Source organism: Homo sapiens, chromosome 7, assembly GCF_000001405.40.
Source record: "Homo sapiens chromosome 7, GRCh38.p14 Primary Assembly".
NCBI classification, from domain to species: Eukaryota; Metazoa; Chordata; class Mammalia; order Primates; family Hominidae; genus Homo; species Homo sapiens.
The window spans coordinates 102,956,463-102,971,768 of NC_000007.14; the positions used below are offsets into that span (position 1 = coordinate 102,956,463).

The following is a 15,306-nucleotide window of genomic DNA, read 5'->3' on the forward strand; positions in this document are numbered from 1 at the left end:
AAAACCAGCACGAGGCAAGGATGTCCTCTCTCACCACTCCTATTGAACATAGTATTAGAAGTTCTGGCCAGGGCAATCAGGCAAGAGAAAGAAATAAAGGGTATTCAGTTAGGAAAAGAGGAAGTCAAATTGTCCCTGTTTGCAGATGACATGATTGTACATTTAGAAAACCCCATCATCTCAGCCCAAAATCTCCTTAAGGTGATAAGCAACTTCAGCAAAGTCTGAGGACACAAAATCAATGTGCAAAAATCACAAGAATTCCTATACACCATTAACAGACAAACAGAGAGCCAGATTATGAGTGAATTCCCATTCACAATTGCTGCAAAGAGAATAAAATACCTAGGAATACAACTTACAAGGGATGTGAAGGACCTCTTCAAGGAGAACTACAAACCACTGCTCAACACAATAAAAGAGGACACAAACAAATGGAAGAACATTCCATGCTCATCGATAAGAACAATCAATATCATGAAAATGGCCATACTGCCCAGGGTAATTTATAGATTCAGTGCCATCCCCATCAAGCTACCAATGACTTTCTTCACAGAATTGGAAAACACTACTTTAAAGTTTATATAGAATGAAAAAAGATCCTGCATTGCCAAGACAATCCTAAGCAAAAAGAACAAAGCTGGAGGCATCGCACTACCTGACTTCAAACTATACTACAAGGCCACAGTAACCAAAACGGCATGGTACTGGTACCAAAACAGATATATACACCAATGGAACAGAACAGAGGCCTCAGAAATAACACCACATATCTACAACCATCTGATCTTTGACAAACGTGACGAAAACAAGAAATGGGGAAAGGATTCCCTATTTAATAAATAATGCTGGGAAAATTGGCTAGCCATATGCAGAAAGCTGAAACTGGATCCCTTCCTTACACCTTATACAAAAATTAATTCAAGATGGATTCAAGACTTAAATGTTAGACCTAAAACCATAAAAACCCTAGAAGAAAACCTAGACAATATCATTCAGGACATAGGTATTGGCAAGGACTTCATGACTAAAACACCAAAAGCAATGGCAACAAAAGCCAAAATTGACAAATGGGATCTAATCAAACTAAAGAGCTTCTGCACGGGAAAAAAACTGCCATCAGAGTGAATAGGCAACCTACAGAATGGGAGAAAATTTTTGCAATCTACCCATCTGACAAAGGGCTAATATACAGAATCTACAAAGAACTCAAACAAATTTACAAGAAAAAAAACAAACAAACCCATCAAAAAGTGGGCAAAGGATATGAACAGACACTTCTTAAAAGAAGATATCTATGCAGCCAACAGAGACATGAAAAAAAGCTCATCATCACTGGTCATCAGAGAAATGCAAATCAAAACCACAATGAGATACCATCTCACGCCAGTTAGAATGGCAGTCATTAAAATGTCAGGAAACAACAGATGCTGGAGAGGATGTGGAGAAATAGGAATGCTTTTACATCGTTGGTTGGAGTGTAAATTAGTTCAACCATTGTGGAAGACAGTGTGGTGATTCCTCAAGGATCCAGAACTAGAATTACCATTTGACCCAGCAATCCCATTACTGGGTATATACCCAAAGGATTATAAATCATGCTACTATAAAGACACATGCACACATATGTTTACTGTGGCACTATTCACAATACCAAAGACTTGGAACCAACCCAAATGCCCATCAATGATAGACTGGATTAAGAAAAACGTGGCACATATACACCATGGAATACTATGCAGCCATAAAAAGGATGAGTGCATGTCCTTTGCAGGGACATGGATAAAGCTGGAAACCATCATTCTCAGCAAACTATCACAAGGACAGAAAACCAAACACCGCATGTTCTCATTCATAGGTGGGAAATGAACAATGAGATCACTTGAACACAGGGCGGGGAACATCACACAGTGGGGTCTGTTGGGGGTGGTGGACTGGGGGAGGGATAGCATTAGGAGAAATACCTAATATAAATGATGAGTTGATGGGTGCAGCAAACCAACATGATACATGCATACCTATGTAACAAACCTGCATGTTGTGCACATGTACCCTAGAACTTAAAGTATAATAATAATAATAATAATAATAATAATAATAATAATAAAACAGAGACAGAGAGAGCAAATTTGGGTGGCTAACACTTTAAGGTTTATAATTATTTTATTAACTTTTTATTACTACAAACATAATAAATTGGTTAAAAATGGCAGACTAAGCACATGTTCAGCTTCTCTCACCTGCCCAAAATCCAAGAATGAATTTTTTTTCAAAAATGTATAACATGCGTGAAGACAAAGCAAGAATGGCCTTGGTGGATCAGAAACAAACAGTTCCTAAAAATCCAAAGGCGGATGTGACCAGACAGAATGAGGAACATGCAGGACACAGCTGCTGTAAAGGTGAAAACAGCATTATATCCACATACAGGATGTATCCCAGAAATTAAAAGACGTATTAATATTAACATTATTTTCATGAAAAATATGAAAAAGGAGACATGAACAAGACTCCTGCATATCCCTGCTACTTTTCAACATTGCAAAAAAGGTCCTAAACAATGTAATAAAATGAGAAAAAGAGAAAAGATATAGGAATAGGCATGAATGAAAATAAAACTGTCAACATTCCCAGATATGACAGTCTACCTAGAAAATTCAAGAGAATCAATTGACAAGCTATTAAAACCAAGAAGAGAGCTTAATACATGGTCAGATACAATAACATCATATAAAAAACTACTGCTTTGTGTAGCACCAGCAATAATCAATCAGAATTATTCCATTTTGCATAATTTCTTTTTTTCACTAAAAAATGTACAGACACAGTTGAAACTCCTTGTGCACTTCTTCCCCATTCCATTAAATTCTATCTATTTGCACAACCACTGTCTTGCGTTTGGAGTTTTTCTTTCTCATGCATGCTTTTTATATGTCACTATATGTGTGTGTACTTAAAAATCTATAGTAATATATATTGTTTGAAATTATTTCAAAATAAAAGGTAAAAATATATATAATTTTGCAAATTGAAAAGTTATATACAAATGGTATTAGATTTTATATATAATATATAGCTCTCTCATGCAACTTCATTTTACCCTTTAATATCTTTAGACTTCTCCAACTGGTATTTGTACATGTATATGACATTCTATCTGGAGTCAATATGAATGTATACATTTTTGAAATATATTGTTTATTTCATTTCCAGAAATACTTATATGATAGATAGAAAACGCATCTCAAAGGATATATAGGTTAAAGGATATATAGGTTAAAGACAAATATCACAATGGAAGTACAAAGCAGTCAGTCTGGAAAAAATTGGAAATAATCTCAATGTCCATCAAATAGAAGAAGGTTAAATAAAGTATGTTACATCTATAACATAGAAAATAATTTTACAGTATGTAAAAATAATTTAGTGGATCTATATGCACTGACATGGAAAGATTTTCAGGACATAAAAGAAAATATAAAACAATATGACTCATGTTGTAAAGTTGTGTATTTTTAATCACATATATAGAAATGTATTTTAGAAAAACAGAAAACTAATAACATTGGATGCCTTTGAGTAAGTGAATAGGTTTGAGGGAAGTGAAAAAAGATGGTTTTACTGTCTATTGTTAGTTTTTTAAAAATAAGAATATGTTTTATATTTTTTAGTAGAAAAAATTGATGATCCATAGAAATACAAATACTAGACCCCAAAAGAGTAGTCAAGAATAGACCAAGCACCTCTACGCAAATAAACTAGAAAATCTAGAAGAAATGGATAAATTCCCGGACACATACACTCTCCCAAGACTAAACCAGGAAGAAGTTGAATCTCTGAATAGACCAATAACAGGAGCTGAAATTGTGGCAATAATCAATAGCTTACCAATCAAAAAGAGTCCAGGACCAGATGGATTCACAGCCGAATTCTACCAGAGGTACAAGGAGAAACTGGTACCATTCCTTCTGAAACTATTCCAATCAATAGAAAAAGAGGGAATCCTCCCTAACTCATTTTATGAGGCCAGCATCATTCTGATACCAAAGCCAGGCAGAGACACAACAAAAAAAGAGAATTTTAGACCAATATCCTTGATGAACATTGATGCAAAAATCCTCAATAAAATACTGGCAAAACGAATCCAGCAGCACATCAAAAAGCTTATCCACCACAATCAAGTGGGCTTCATCCCTGGGATGCAAGGCTGGTTCAATATATGCAAATCAATAAATGTAATCCAGCATATAAACAGAGCCAAAGACAAAAACCACATGATTATCTCAATAGATGCAGAAAAAGCCTTTGACAAAATTCAACAACCTTTCATGCTAAAAACTCTCAATAAATTAGGTATTGATGGGACGTATTTCAAAATAATAAGAGCTATCTATGACAAACCCACAGCCAATATCATACTGAATGGGCAAACACTGGAAGCATTCCCTTTGAAAACTGGCACAAGACAGGGATGCCCTCTCTCACCACTCCTATTCAACGTAGTGTTGGAAGTTCTGGCCAGGGCAATTAGGCAGGAGAAGGAAATAAAGGGTATTCAATTAGGAAAAGAGGAAGTCAAATTGTCCCTGTTTGCAGACGACATGATTGTATATCTAGAAAACCCCATTGTCTCAGCCCAAAATCTCCTTAAGCTGATAAGCAACTTCAGCAAAGTCTCAGGATACAAAATCAATGCACAAAAATCACAAGCATTCTTATACACCAACAACAGACAAACAGAGAGCCAAATCATGAGTGAACTCCCATTCACAATTGCTTCAAAGAGAATAAAATACCTAGGAATCCAACTTACAAGGGACGTGAAGGACCTCTTCAAGGAGAACTACAAACCACTGCTCAAGGAAATAAAAGAGGATACAAACAAATGGAAGAACATTCCATGCTCATGGGTAGGAAGAATCAATATCGTGAAAACGGCCATACTGCCCAAGGTAATTTACAGATTCAATGCCATCCCCATCAAGCTACCAATGACTTTCTTCACAGAATTGGAAAAAACTACTTTAAAGTTCATATGGAACCAAAAAAGAGCCCGCATCGCCAAGTCAATCCTAAGCCAAAAGAACAAAGCTGGAGGCATCACACTACCTGACTTCAAACTATACTACAAGGCTACAGTAAACAAAACAGCATGGTACTGGTACCAAAACAGAGATATAGACCAATGGAACAGAACAGAGCCCTCAGAAATAACGCTGCATATCTACAACTATCTGATCTTTGACAAACCTGAGAAAAACAAGCAATGGGGAAAGGATTCCCTATTTAATAAATGGTGCTGGGAAAACTGGCTAGCCATATGTAGAAAGCTGAAACTGGATCCCTTCCTTACACCTTATACAAAAATCAATTCAAGATGGATTAAAGACTTAAACGTTAGACCTAAAACCATAAAAACCCTAGAAGAAAACCTAGGCATTACCATTCAGGACATAGGCATGGGCAAGGACTTCATTTCTAAAACACCAAAAGCAATGGCAACAAAAGACAAAATTGACAAATGGGATCTAATTAAACTAAAGAGCTTCTGCACAGCAAAAGAAACTACCATCAGAGTGAACAGGCAACCTACAAAATGGGAGAAAATTTTCACAACTACTCATCTGACAAAGGGCTAATATCCAGAATCTACAATGAACTCAAACAAATTTACAAGAAAAAAACAAACAACCCCATCAAAAAGTGGGCGAAGGACATGAACAGACACTTCTCAAAAGAAGACATTTATGCAGCCAAAAAACACATGAAAAAATGCTCATCATCACTGGCCATCAGAGAAATGCAAATCAAAACCACAATGAGATATCATCTCACACTAGTTAGAATGGCAATCATTAAAAAGTCAGGAAACAGGTGCTGGAGAGGATGTGGAGAAATAGGAACACTTTTACACTGTCGGTGGGACTGTAAACTAGTTCAACCATTGTGGAAGTCAGTGTGGCTATTCCTCAGGGATCTAGAACTGGAAATACCATTTGACCCAGCCATCCCATTACTGAGTATATACCCAAAGGACTAGAAATCATGCTGCTATAAAGACACATGCACGCATATGTTTATTGCGGCATTATTCACAAAGCAAAGACTTGGAACCAACCCAAATGTCCAACAATGATAGACTGGATTAAGAAAATGTGGCACATATACACCATGGAATACTATGCAGCCATAAAAAATGATGAGTTCATGTCCTTTGTAGGGACATGGATGAAATTGGAAATCATCATTCTCAGTAAACTATTGCAAGAACAAAAAACCAAACACCACATATTCTCACTCATAGGTGGGAACTGAACAATGAGATCACATGGACACAGGAAGGGGAATATCACACTCTGGGGACTGTTGTGGGGTGGGGGGAAGGGGGAGGGATAGCATCGGGAGACATACCTAATGCTAGATGACGAGTTAGTGGGTGCAGCACACCAGCATGGCACATGTATGCATATGTAACTAACCTGCACAATGTGCACATGTACCCTAAAACTTAAAGGATAATAAAAATATATATATATATATATATAAAAAAAAAAAAAAGAATAGACCAAGAACCAGCCGGGCACAGTGGCTTATGCCTGTAATCCCAGCACTTTGGGAGGCCGAGGCGGGTGGATCACTTGAGGTCAGGAGTTTGAGACCAGCCTGGCCAACATGGTGAAACCCTGTCTCTACTAAAAATACCAAAAAATTAGCCAGGCATGGTGGCGCATGCCTGTAGTCCCAGCTACTCGGCAGGCTGAGGCACGAAAATCATTTGAACCCAGGAGCCGGAGGTTACAGTGAGCCAAGATCGCACCACTGCACTCCAGCCTGGGAGACAGAGTGAGACTCCATCTCAAAAAAAAAAAAGAATAGACAAAGAACCAACTCCCAGGGCATGCAATACAGTAAGAGCTGCACTATATTATACACTTATTAAATGGTTATAATTGGTATCCTTATGACCTAAAACTGTCACTGAAGTTTCCTTTTTAATCTATGCTTTTCTGTATATTTGTTTAATTGTAATACAGGAAAGCAAGACAAATAGTTGTAATGAACATACTTACTGACAGATCTGAAAGTTTTGGGTCGGAGAAGACAACCACGAAAATTCAAACGCAGCACATTTAAACGCCACCTTTGCAAAGTAGACACTATATATTTATCTGGAATCACATTTTTCACTGAGGAAAAATCAATCTAAAAAGAATAAACAAAATGCATTAAGAAATGAGAAAGTCCCCAAAAACAATTGCAACAAAAACAATAATAGACAAATGTGACCTAATTAAACTAAAGAGCTTCTGTACAGCAAAAGAAACTATCAATAGAGAAGACAGACAACCTATAGAATGAGAGAGATATTTGCAAACTATGCATCCAACAAAAGCCTAATATCCAGAATCTATAGGAAACTTAAATCAACAAGCAAAAACAACCCCATAAAAATAGGCGAAGAACATGAACAGATACTTCTCAAAAGAAGAAATACAAGTGGCCAAGAAATAGATGAGAAAATGATCCACATCATTATCAGATAAATGCAAATTGAAACCACAATGAGGTCGGGCACGGTGGCTCATGCCTGTAATCCCAGCACCTTGGGAGGCCAAAGCGGGCGGATCACTTGAGGCTGCGAGTTCAAGACCAGCCTAGCCAACATGGCAAAACCCCGTCTCTACTAGAAATACAAAAATTAGCCAGGCGTGGTGACACACGCCTGTAGACCCAGCTACTTGGGAGGCTGAGGCATGAGAATTGCCTGAACCTGAGAGGTGGAGGTTGCAGTGAGCTGAGATTGTGCCACTGCACTCCAGCCTAGGTGACAGAGCAAAACTCCAACTCAAAAAAAAAATAAATAAATAGATAGAGCTAAGGAAATTTGGGGGCAAAAGGTACTCCATAACTCCACACAATTTTGTGACTATATATATATATATTTTTTTTTTTTTTTCCAGACTGAGTCTCTCTCTGTTGTCCAGGCTGCAGTGCAGTGGCACGATCTTGGCTCACTGCAACCTCTGCCTCCTGGGTTCAAGTGATTCTCCTGCCTCAGCCTCCCAAGTAGCTGGAATTATAGGCACCTGCCACCATGCCCGGCTAATTTTTGTATTTTTAGTAGAGACGAGGTTTCACCATTTTGGCCAGGCTGGTCTCAAACTCCTGACCTCAAATGATCCACCTGCTTCAGCTTCCCAAAGTGCTGGGATTACAGGCATGAGCCACCATGCCTGGCCACTTTTGTGATTATAAATGTAATCCAACCTTTGCCTTAACAATTCTACTTCTAAGAATTTATTCTGCCGATGTAATCATACATGTATACAATGCAACACTGAGAAACAGGATATTCACCACAGGATTTTATTAACGAAAGATAGGAAACAACCTAAATGTCTTTCGATAGGAGACAGATTAAATAAATTGAGTGACTTCCATACAACAGACCACTGGACAAAAGCTGAATTCAGGGCAAAAAAGCACAACTCAGAAAGAGAAAATCTAAAGCAATAGAGTCCAAGTATGCTGCTCTCTGATTGGCTGATTCAATTCAGGGACAAAATGCACAGTATCTAGAGGACTTACTGGACCCGAACCCTTCATGAACATTACTCGTTAATGCCAAGCATTTTATGAGAGTTGGGACTCAGGGCTCAAAGTTATATCATTGTAAAAGAACCTTAAGAGGAGAAATTCTATGCTGCTAGTTAGGGGAAAGGCAAATGGCAGACCTGGCATTCTCTTATAAATAGTTGATAATTAAGAGCACACACTTTGTAGTCTGACAAATCAGAATTTGAATCCCATCCTAGCCATTTAACCATGTTGGCTATGACTTAACTAAGGCTTAGTTTTTTTTCATCTGTAAAATGGGAAAAATAACAGTGCCTAACTCAGGAGGCTGCAGAGACAAACTGAGAAAATGCAAATAAAGTACTTAGTGTAGCATCTGGCATATAAGAAAGCATTCAATAAATATTAGCTACTATTATTACTTCAAAAATACATGACAAAGCACACAAAATATGGAGTACATAAATTTTAAAAAGCATGGAATAGGACTAAAATACACAACACATAAGTCATATTTGACAGTGTGTCTGCATGCATGCAGAAACACATACACTCTGGCAATTTCTAATATGAAATCCTAGGCTGGCGCTTATGTACTATTTTTGCCACAGTACTATTTTTTAACCTGAAACATGTTTGTGTTTCTCATTCCAAAGAGACATTGGGGAGAGGACTCAGCCAACAATAAAAAATAAGCAAATAAGCATACGTCCCCCAACAACTTCTCTTATCTGTTTCTTGTAAGATACTTTAATATCAACAAACGTGGTCATTTATGCCATCAACCAATGTTCAGTGGCAACATTTTCCGTGTTGTCTAAAGTCCAGTCAATAGCTGACTTCACGACCCCTCCTTATTGCTAATGATTGAAGGACTGATGATATCACGTGCTCAGACTGACCTATGAATAGGGGGACTGGTGCCATTTTGTAGAAGCTCTAAAACTTAACTCAAAGAAATTAAAAGGAGTTGAGAAGGTTTCAGGGGCTCTAGCTTCATAAGTTAACTCAACATCTTTACGTCGCATCTGGACAACATCCCATTCTTGGTTGCACTACTCTCACTCTGTGCAACAATGGCAAGAAGAGAACTGATTTCATCTTACCAAACCTATCTTAGCTAACAAATTAGGTGTTCCTGTCTTAATTTTATTTTTGGTTTAATGCAGTGATTCTCGAACTTTAGCCTGCATCAGAATCATCTAGGTGGGTTGTTAAAACAGATTACTGTTTACTACCCTAAGAGTTTCTGACTCAGTAGGTCTGGGATGGGGCCTAAGAATTTGCATTTCCAACAAGGTATTGGGTGATGCTGATACTACTGGTTCCAGGACCACACTTTGAGAACCACTGGCTTAAAGTAATAAATCTCTAAATTATGTTACAGATATTTGGGGATGTTGCTTTTTCCTTTGGAAAACCTACAAAGAAGAAAAAAATGAATCCAAATGGTCTGGAGGAGAAAGAATATATACAATATTTAGATAATGAAATGTCTTGCAGAAGCTGGCAGGAGTTAGAAAAAGCCAACACGTCTGCCCAGAGATCTCACTAGATAAAGACCAAGAGCATTACAAGCACATGGCAGTGAGGAACGAAGCCAGGGTAGGAAGTTACACTGCTTTATGTTCAGCAAATTTCTCTTTCCACAATTGTATGTTGCTCCATCCTCCTATTTCTGCTTTTGTGAGTGTTCACATGTGGCACAATTATAATCAGCATTTTTAGCACAAACAATAACTTTATTCAGAAGGCAATGAGAAATTGCCTGTTCACAGGAAATTGCATGTTCACAAATGTAAACTTTTAGCTGACAGTATTAGCAATATTATTTATCAATCAGCCCTGGCCACTCCAAAAACCTCTGCTCTTGTCAATTTTGCATACCATCACCCAGGTACACTAAGGTCATCCTTGTAATCCTGTTTTGGTTTTTTTGTTTTTTTTTTGAGATGGAGTCTCACTCTGTCACCAAGCTGGAGTGCGGTGGTGTGATCTTGGCTCATTGCAACCTCCACCTCCCGGGTTCAAGCGATTCTCCTGCCTCAGCCTCCCGAGTAGCTGGGACTACAGGCGCACGCTACCATGCCCAGCTAACTTTTGTATTTTTAGTAGAGATGGCGTTGGCCAGGATGGTCTTGATCTCTTGATCTTGTGATCTGCCTGCCTCGGCCTCCCAGAGTGCTTGGATTATAGGCGTGAGCTACTGCACCCAGCCAATCCTCTCTTTCTTTTTTTTTTTTTTTTGAATGATACAGAGTCTTGCTCTGTTGCCTAGGCTGGAGTGCAGTGGCACGGTCTCAGCTCACTGCAACCTCCACCTCCCAGGCTCAAGCAATTCTCCTGACTCAGCCTCCTGAGTAACTGGGATTACAGGCACCTGCCACCATGCCTAGCTAATTTTTGTATTTTTAGTAGAGACAGGGTTTCACCATGTTGGCCAGGCTGTTCTCAAACTCCTGACCTCAGGTGATCTGCCCACCTTGACCTTCCAAAGTGCTGGGATTACAGGCATGAGCCACTGTGCCCAGCATAATCCTCTCTTTTTAGTGGAATTAACTCTTCCAAAAATTATGAGTTATGAAAAGGCCATTGCACACCTCACACCCTAAACATCTTTCCCATGGTCATGGACTTAACATATAGTCTATGCTCATGAAAAGGAAGTAGGGACACTGTAATAAAACCAGAATGGAGTACAAACTATCCAATAAAATGGAGCTTTGTTTCAATCCAAAAATGATATTCATTTATATCTACCATTTACATTTAAAAATACTAATGATGTATCTCTTAAAATAGCATTATTATCTTTTTTATCTCTTCCCCCAGGCTTGTGCCTGGACAAAAGAAAACCAAATTCACTTGCTGCTGGTGACCACAGAGCATGGAAGAAGGTGTCCCCACAACAGCTGGCTTCACAGCAGTCCATTCTCCTTTAAGAACTAGTGTAAAGACATAGTTCAGTTAGTATCTACTTACAGCATTCCACAGTGAGTTTAGTTGTGTCATCAACATCCAGGCATGATTAACTTGACCACATATTATCACATCTTTTAAACTGAGGTAGAAGAAAATCTAAACACAAAGAAAAATACACAACTTTGAAAAATGTGAACTTTGATGTAACTTGTCCACTTACCTTTTGTCTGTGTGTGTGCACACATGTGCGTGCACACACACACGCATTAGTAATAATAAGGTAATCCATACTTTGCAAATAGCAAGAGTTTAAGTGCTAGAATTTTATCTGAAGATAGGAGTTTTATCTAAAGTACTGGAACTTACCTGCTGACTCCTTTTATATAATGTAATCCTTTTAATTGATAGTGGCAGAAGGATGGTGAGAAAGATAAGCATATTTGCTTTATTTTTTGAATGAAGATAGAATTCTGCTAGAAAACTAATGATTTCCATAAATAGTCATTGGTACATAGAAGGCAATCAATACTGTCTGCTGAACTAAACTACATTCCTTCTAAAGATATAGGATTCCTCAGAGAAGAAAAAAAAGGATTTCTGGGAAAGAGCAATAAACACATTTTGGCTTCTACTTCTGGAAATGTGGTAGACCAAAAAATCAGGAAATCCTGCTGGTACAAAACATCAGTAAATGCTAAAAGAAACATTTTTTAAAAACATAATTCAGTTGTCAAGAAAGTAAAACAAATATGCAAGGACCCAATCCTTATAAACCCAGACTGATAATAAGGTGCTTCATGCTATAGTTGCTTGGGAGGGAGGAACAATAAAGATGGTTGCTGCTTTTCATAATAAAATGGGTTCAGATTTTACTGGCCATGCAGAGACATAAGAAAGTCACCAGGCCTGTACAAAGCTGGTACAGTCATGCTCTGCATAATGATATTTCAGTCAATGATGGGATGCATGTATGACAGCAGTCCCATAAGATTATAATGGAGCTGAAAAATTTCTATTGTCTAGTGACATCATAGCCATTGTAATATCATAGCACAAGTACTTAATTTTTAAATAAATTTAGTGTAACCTAAGTGTACACTGTTTATAGTGTAGTACTCTATCTGTAGTTGTGTACAGTAATATCCTAGGCCTTCACATTCACTCAACACTCACTCACTGACTCATTCAGAGCAACTTCTAGTCCTCCATTGATAAGTGCCCTATATAGGTGTGCCAATTTTAATTTTTTTACCATATTTTTACTGTACATTTTCTATGTTTAAATATATACTTATCATTGTGCTACAATTACCTACAATATTTAGTACAGTAACATGCTGTACAGGCCTGTAGTCTAGGAGTAATAGGCTATACCATACAACCCAAGTGTGTACTGGATTATACCATCTAGGTTTGTGTAGCACTCTATGATGTTCACACAATGACAAAAATCACCTAATGACACACTTCTCAAAAGGTATCCCCATCATTAAGCAATGCGTGACTGTAATTGAAACTGAGTCAGAAAAAAAAAAGAAAAGAGAGAGAGAGAGAAATCCAGGATTATGAAACAGAAAGAAATCACGCCTGTAATCCCAGCACTTTGGAAGGTCGAGGCAGGTGGATTGCTTGAGGTCAGGAGTTCAAGACCAGCCTGGCCAACATGGTGAAACCCTGTCTCTACTAAAAATACAAAAATTATTGCACACGTCTGTAATCCCAGCTACTCGGGAGGCTGAGGCAGGAGAACTGCTTGAACCCAGGAGGTGGAGGTTGCAGTGAGCTGAGATTGGACCACTGCACTCCAGCCTGGGCAATAGAGCAAGACTCTGTCCAAAAAGGGGAAGGGAAAGGAAAGGGAGGAGAGGGGAGGGGAGGGGAGGGGAGGGGAGGGAAAAGAAAAGAAAAGAAAAGGAAAGAAAAGAAAAAAGAAAAGAAAAGAAAAGAAATCAACCATACTGGCAAAAGAAAAACTAAGGTATCTAGCCTGGTATCAAAAAGATCTCTCGCCAGGCACAGTGGCTCACACCTATAATTCCAGCACTTTAGGAGGCTGAGGTGGGAGGCTTGCTTGAGCCCAGGAGTTCAAGACTAGCCTGGGCAACATAGTGAAACCCCATTTCAACTAAAAATTTAAAAATTAGTCATATATGGTGGTGCACACCTATAGTCCTAGCTACTCTAGAGGCTGAGACGGGAGAATTGTTTGAGCCTGGGAGGCTGCGGCTGCAGTAAGCCATGGTCATGCGACTGCACTCCAGCCTGGGCAACAGAGCAAGACTCTGTCTCAAAAAATAAAATAAAATAAAATCTCTCAAAGAATTTGTAACCATATTGACCATTTTTGGTTTGGGTTAAACAGAAATAATAATAAATTCATTTTTTTTAAAAAAATGAATGAAAAGAAAAAAAGAGTTTGTAACCAAAGGCCAGCGATTATGTGTGTTGGGATTTAAATTTCATCATGCCTGGGATCCAATTTGAATTTGTTACCTTTGTAAATGGATTTGATATATTAATGTGCAAAGAGGTTCCACTGGTAATAACTCTGGGACATTTGGCAGAAATAAATATCATTCTCTCTAAAGAGACAGACACAGTCAAGCCAGGCCTTACAGGATACCCATGGATTAAGCCCTCCAAAAACAAGCTCCCAATCAAAAACTGCAAAACACACGAGGAAAAGGAAGTCCAACAAGATTCAAAAGAAACCTTTAAAGTGATGAAGACATAAAAAGAAAAATAAAACTCTTGAGACAAATGTTGTCAAAACAGGACTGGGAAGATCTGTAAAAGAACCAAATAAAATCATGAAAATTAAAAATATAGTTATTGAAATTTAAAACTCAGTGGGTGAGTTAAATAGCAGATGCGACTCAGCTAAGAAGAGAATCAACAAATGAATATGTACCTGAAGAAATTACACAGGATAAAATGTAGAGAAATAAAGAGATGAAAAATATAAAGGATGCTAAGAGACACATTACATAACATGAAAAGGTCCAACACACATCTTTACAGAATTTCCAGGAGGGAATAAAGAGAATAAAATCAAAGCAAAATTTAAAAATACCACAGACTAAAATGTTTTAGAACTGATGAAAGGCAACACTTTTCAGATTCAAAAAGCACAGGAAGTTCCAAGCAGGAAAATGAAAATATATCAATGGCATTATAAGTGAAACTGCAAAAGGCCAAAGCACAGGAAAATTTTTCAGGCAATTTGACACAGATTACGTACAAAAGACTGTCACGTAGACAGAACAACATAAGGTGGAAGTCAGCAGAAACTATCAATCTGAGATACCATATGCAAGTAAATTACAACTCAAAAATGAGTATTAAGACATTTTTGGCTGAGTGCAGTGGCTCACACCTGTAATCCCAGCACTTTGGGAGGCTGAGGCAGGCAGATCACCTAAGGTTGGGCGTTCGAGACCAGCCTGACCAAGATGAAGAAACCCCCTCTCTACTAAAAACACAAAATTAGCCAGGCGTGGTGGCACATGCCTGTAATCCCAGCTACTTGGGAGGCTGAGGCAGGAGAATCGCTTGAACCCGGGCGGAGGTGGCGGTGAGCCAAGATTGTGCCATTGCACTCCAGCCTAGGCAATAAGAGCGAAACTCCGTCTCAAAAAAAAAAAAAAAAAGACATTTTTTGCCAGGCATGGTAGTACACCTGTAGTCCCAGCTACTTGAGAGGCTGAGGCAAGATTACCTGAGCCCAAGAATTGAAGGCCAGCCTGGGTAACATAGCAAGACTCTGTCTCTAAAAAATTTAAGGCCAGGCACAGTGGCTCATGCCCG

The 15,306-nt window shown here is 38.4% G+C and overlaps 1 protein-coding gene across 21 annotated transcripts in view; it reads right to left on the reverse strand.

The window, feature by feature from the left end:
* FBXL13 (F-box and leucine rich repeat protein 13) overlaps nucleotides 1–15,306 on the reverse strand; it is a 263,608-nt gene that overhangs the window by 145,274 nt on the left and 103,028 nt on the right. For all 21 annotated transcript variants that reach the window (NR_105043.2, XR_927410.4, XM_017011850.3 and 18 more), the window contains 2 exons: nucleotides 11,560–11,655; nucleotides 7,071–7,203 (listed from right to left, as the gene is read on the reverse strand). Coding sequence is in view for 19 of the 21 variants with exons in the window: in XM_017011850.3 (XP_016867339.1) it covers nucleotides 7,071–7,203; nucleotides 11,560–11,655 (229 nt within the window). In the remaining 2 variants the exon portion in view is untranslated. The remainder of the gene's footprint in view (nucleotides 1–7,070; nucleotides 7,204–11,559; nucleotides 11,656–15,306) is intronic.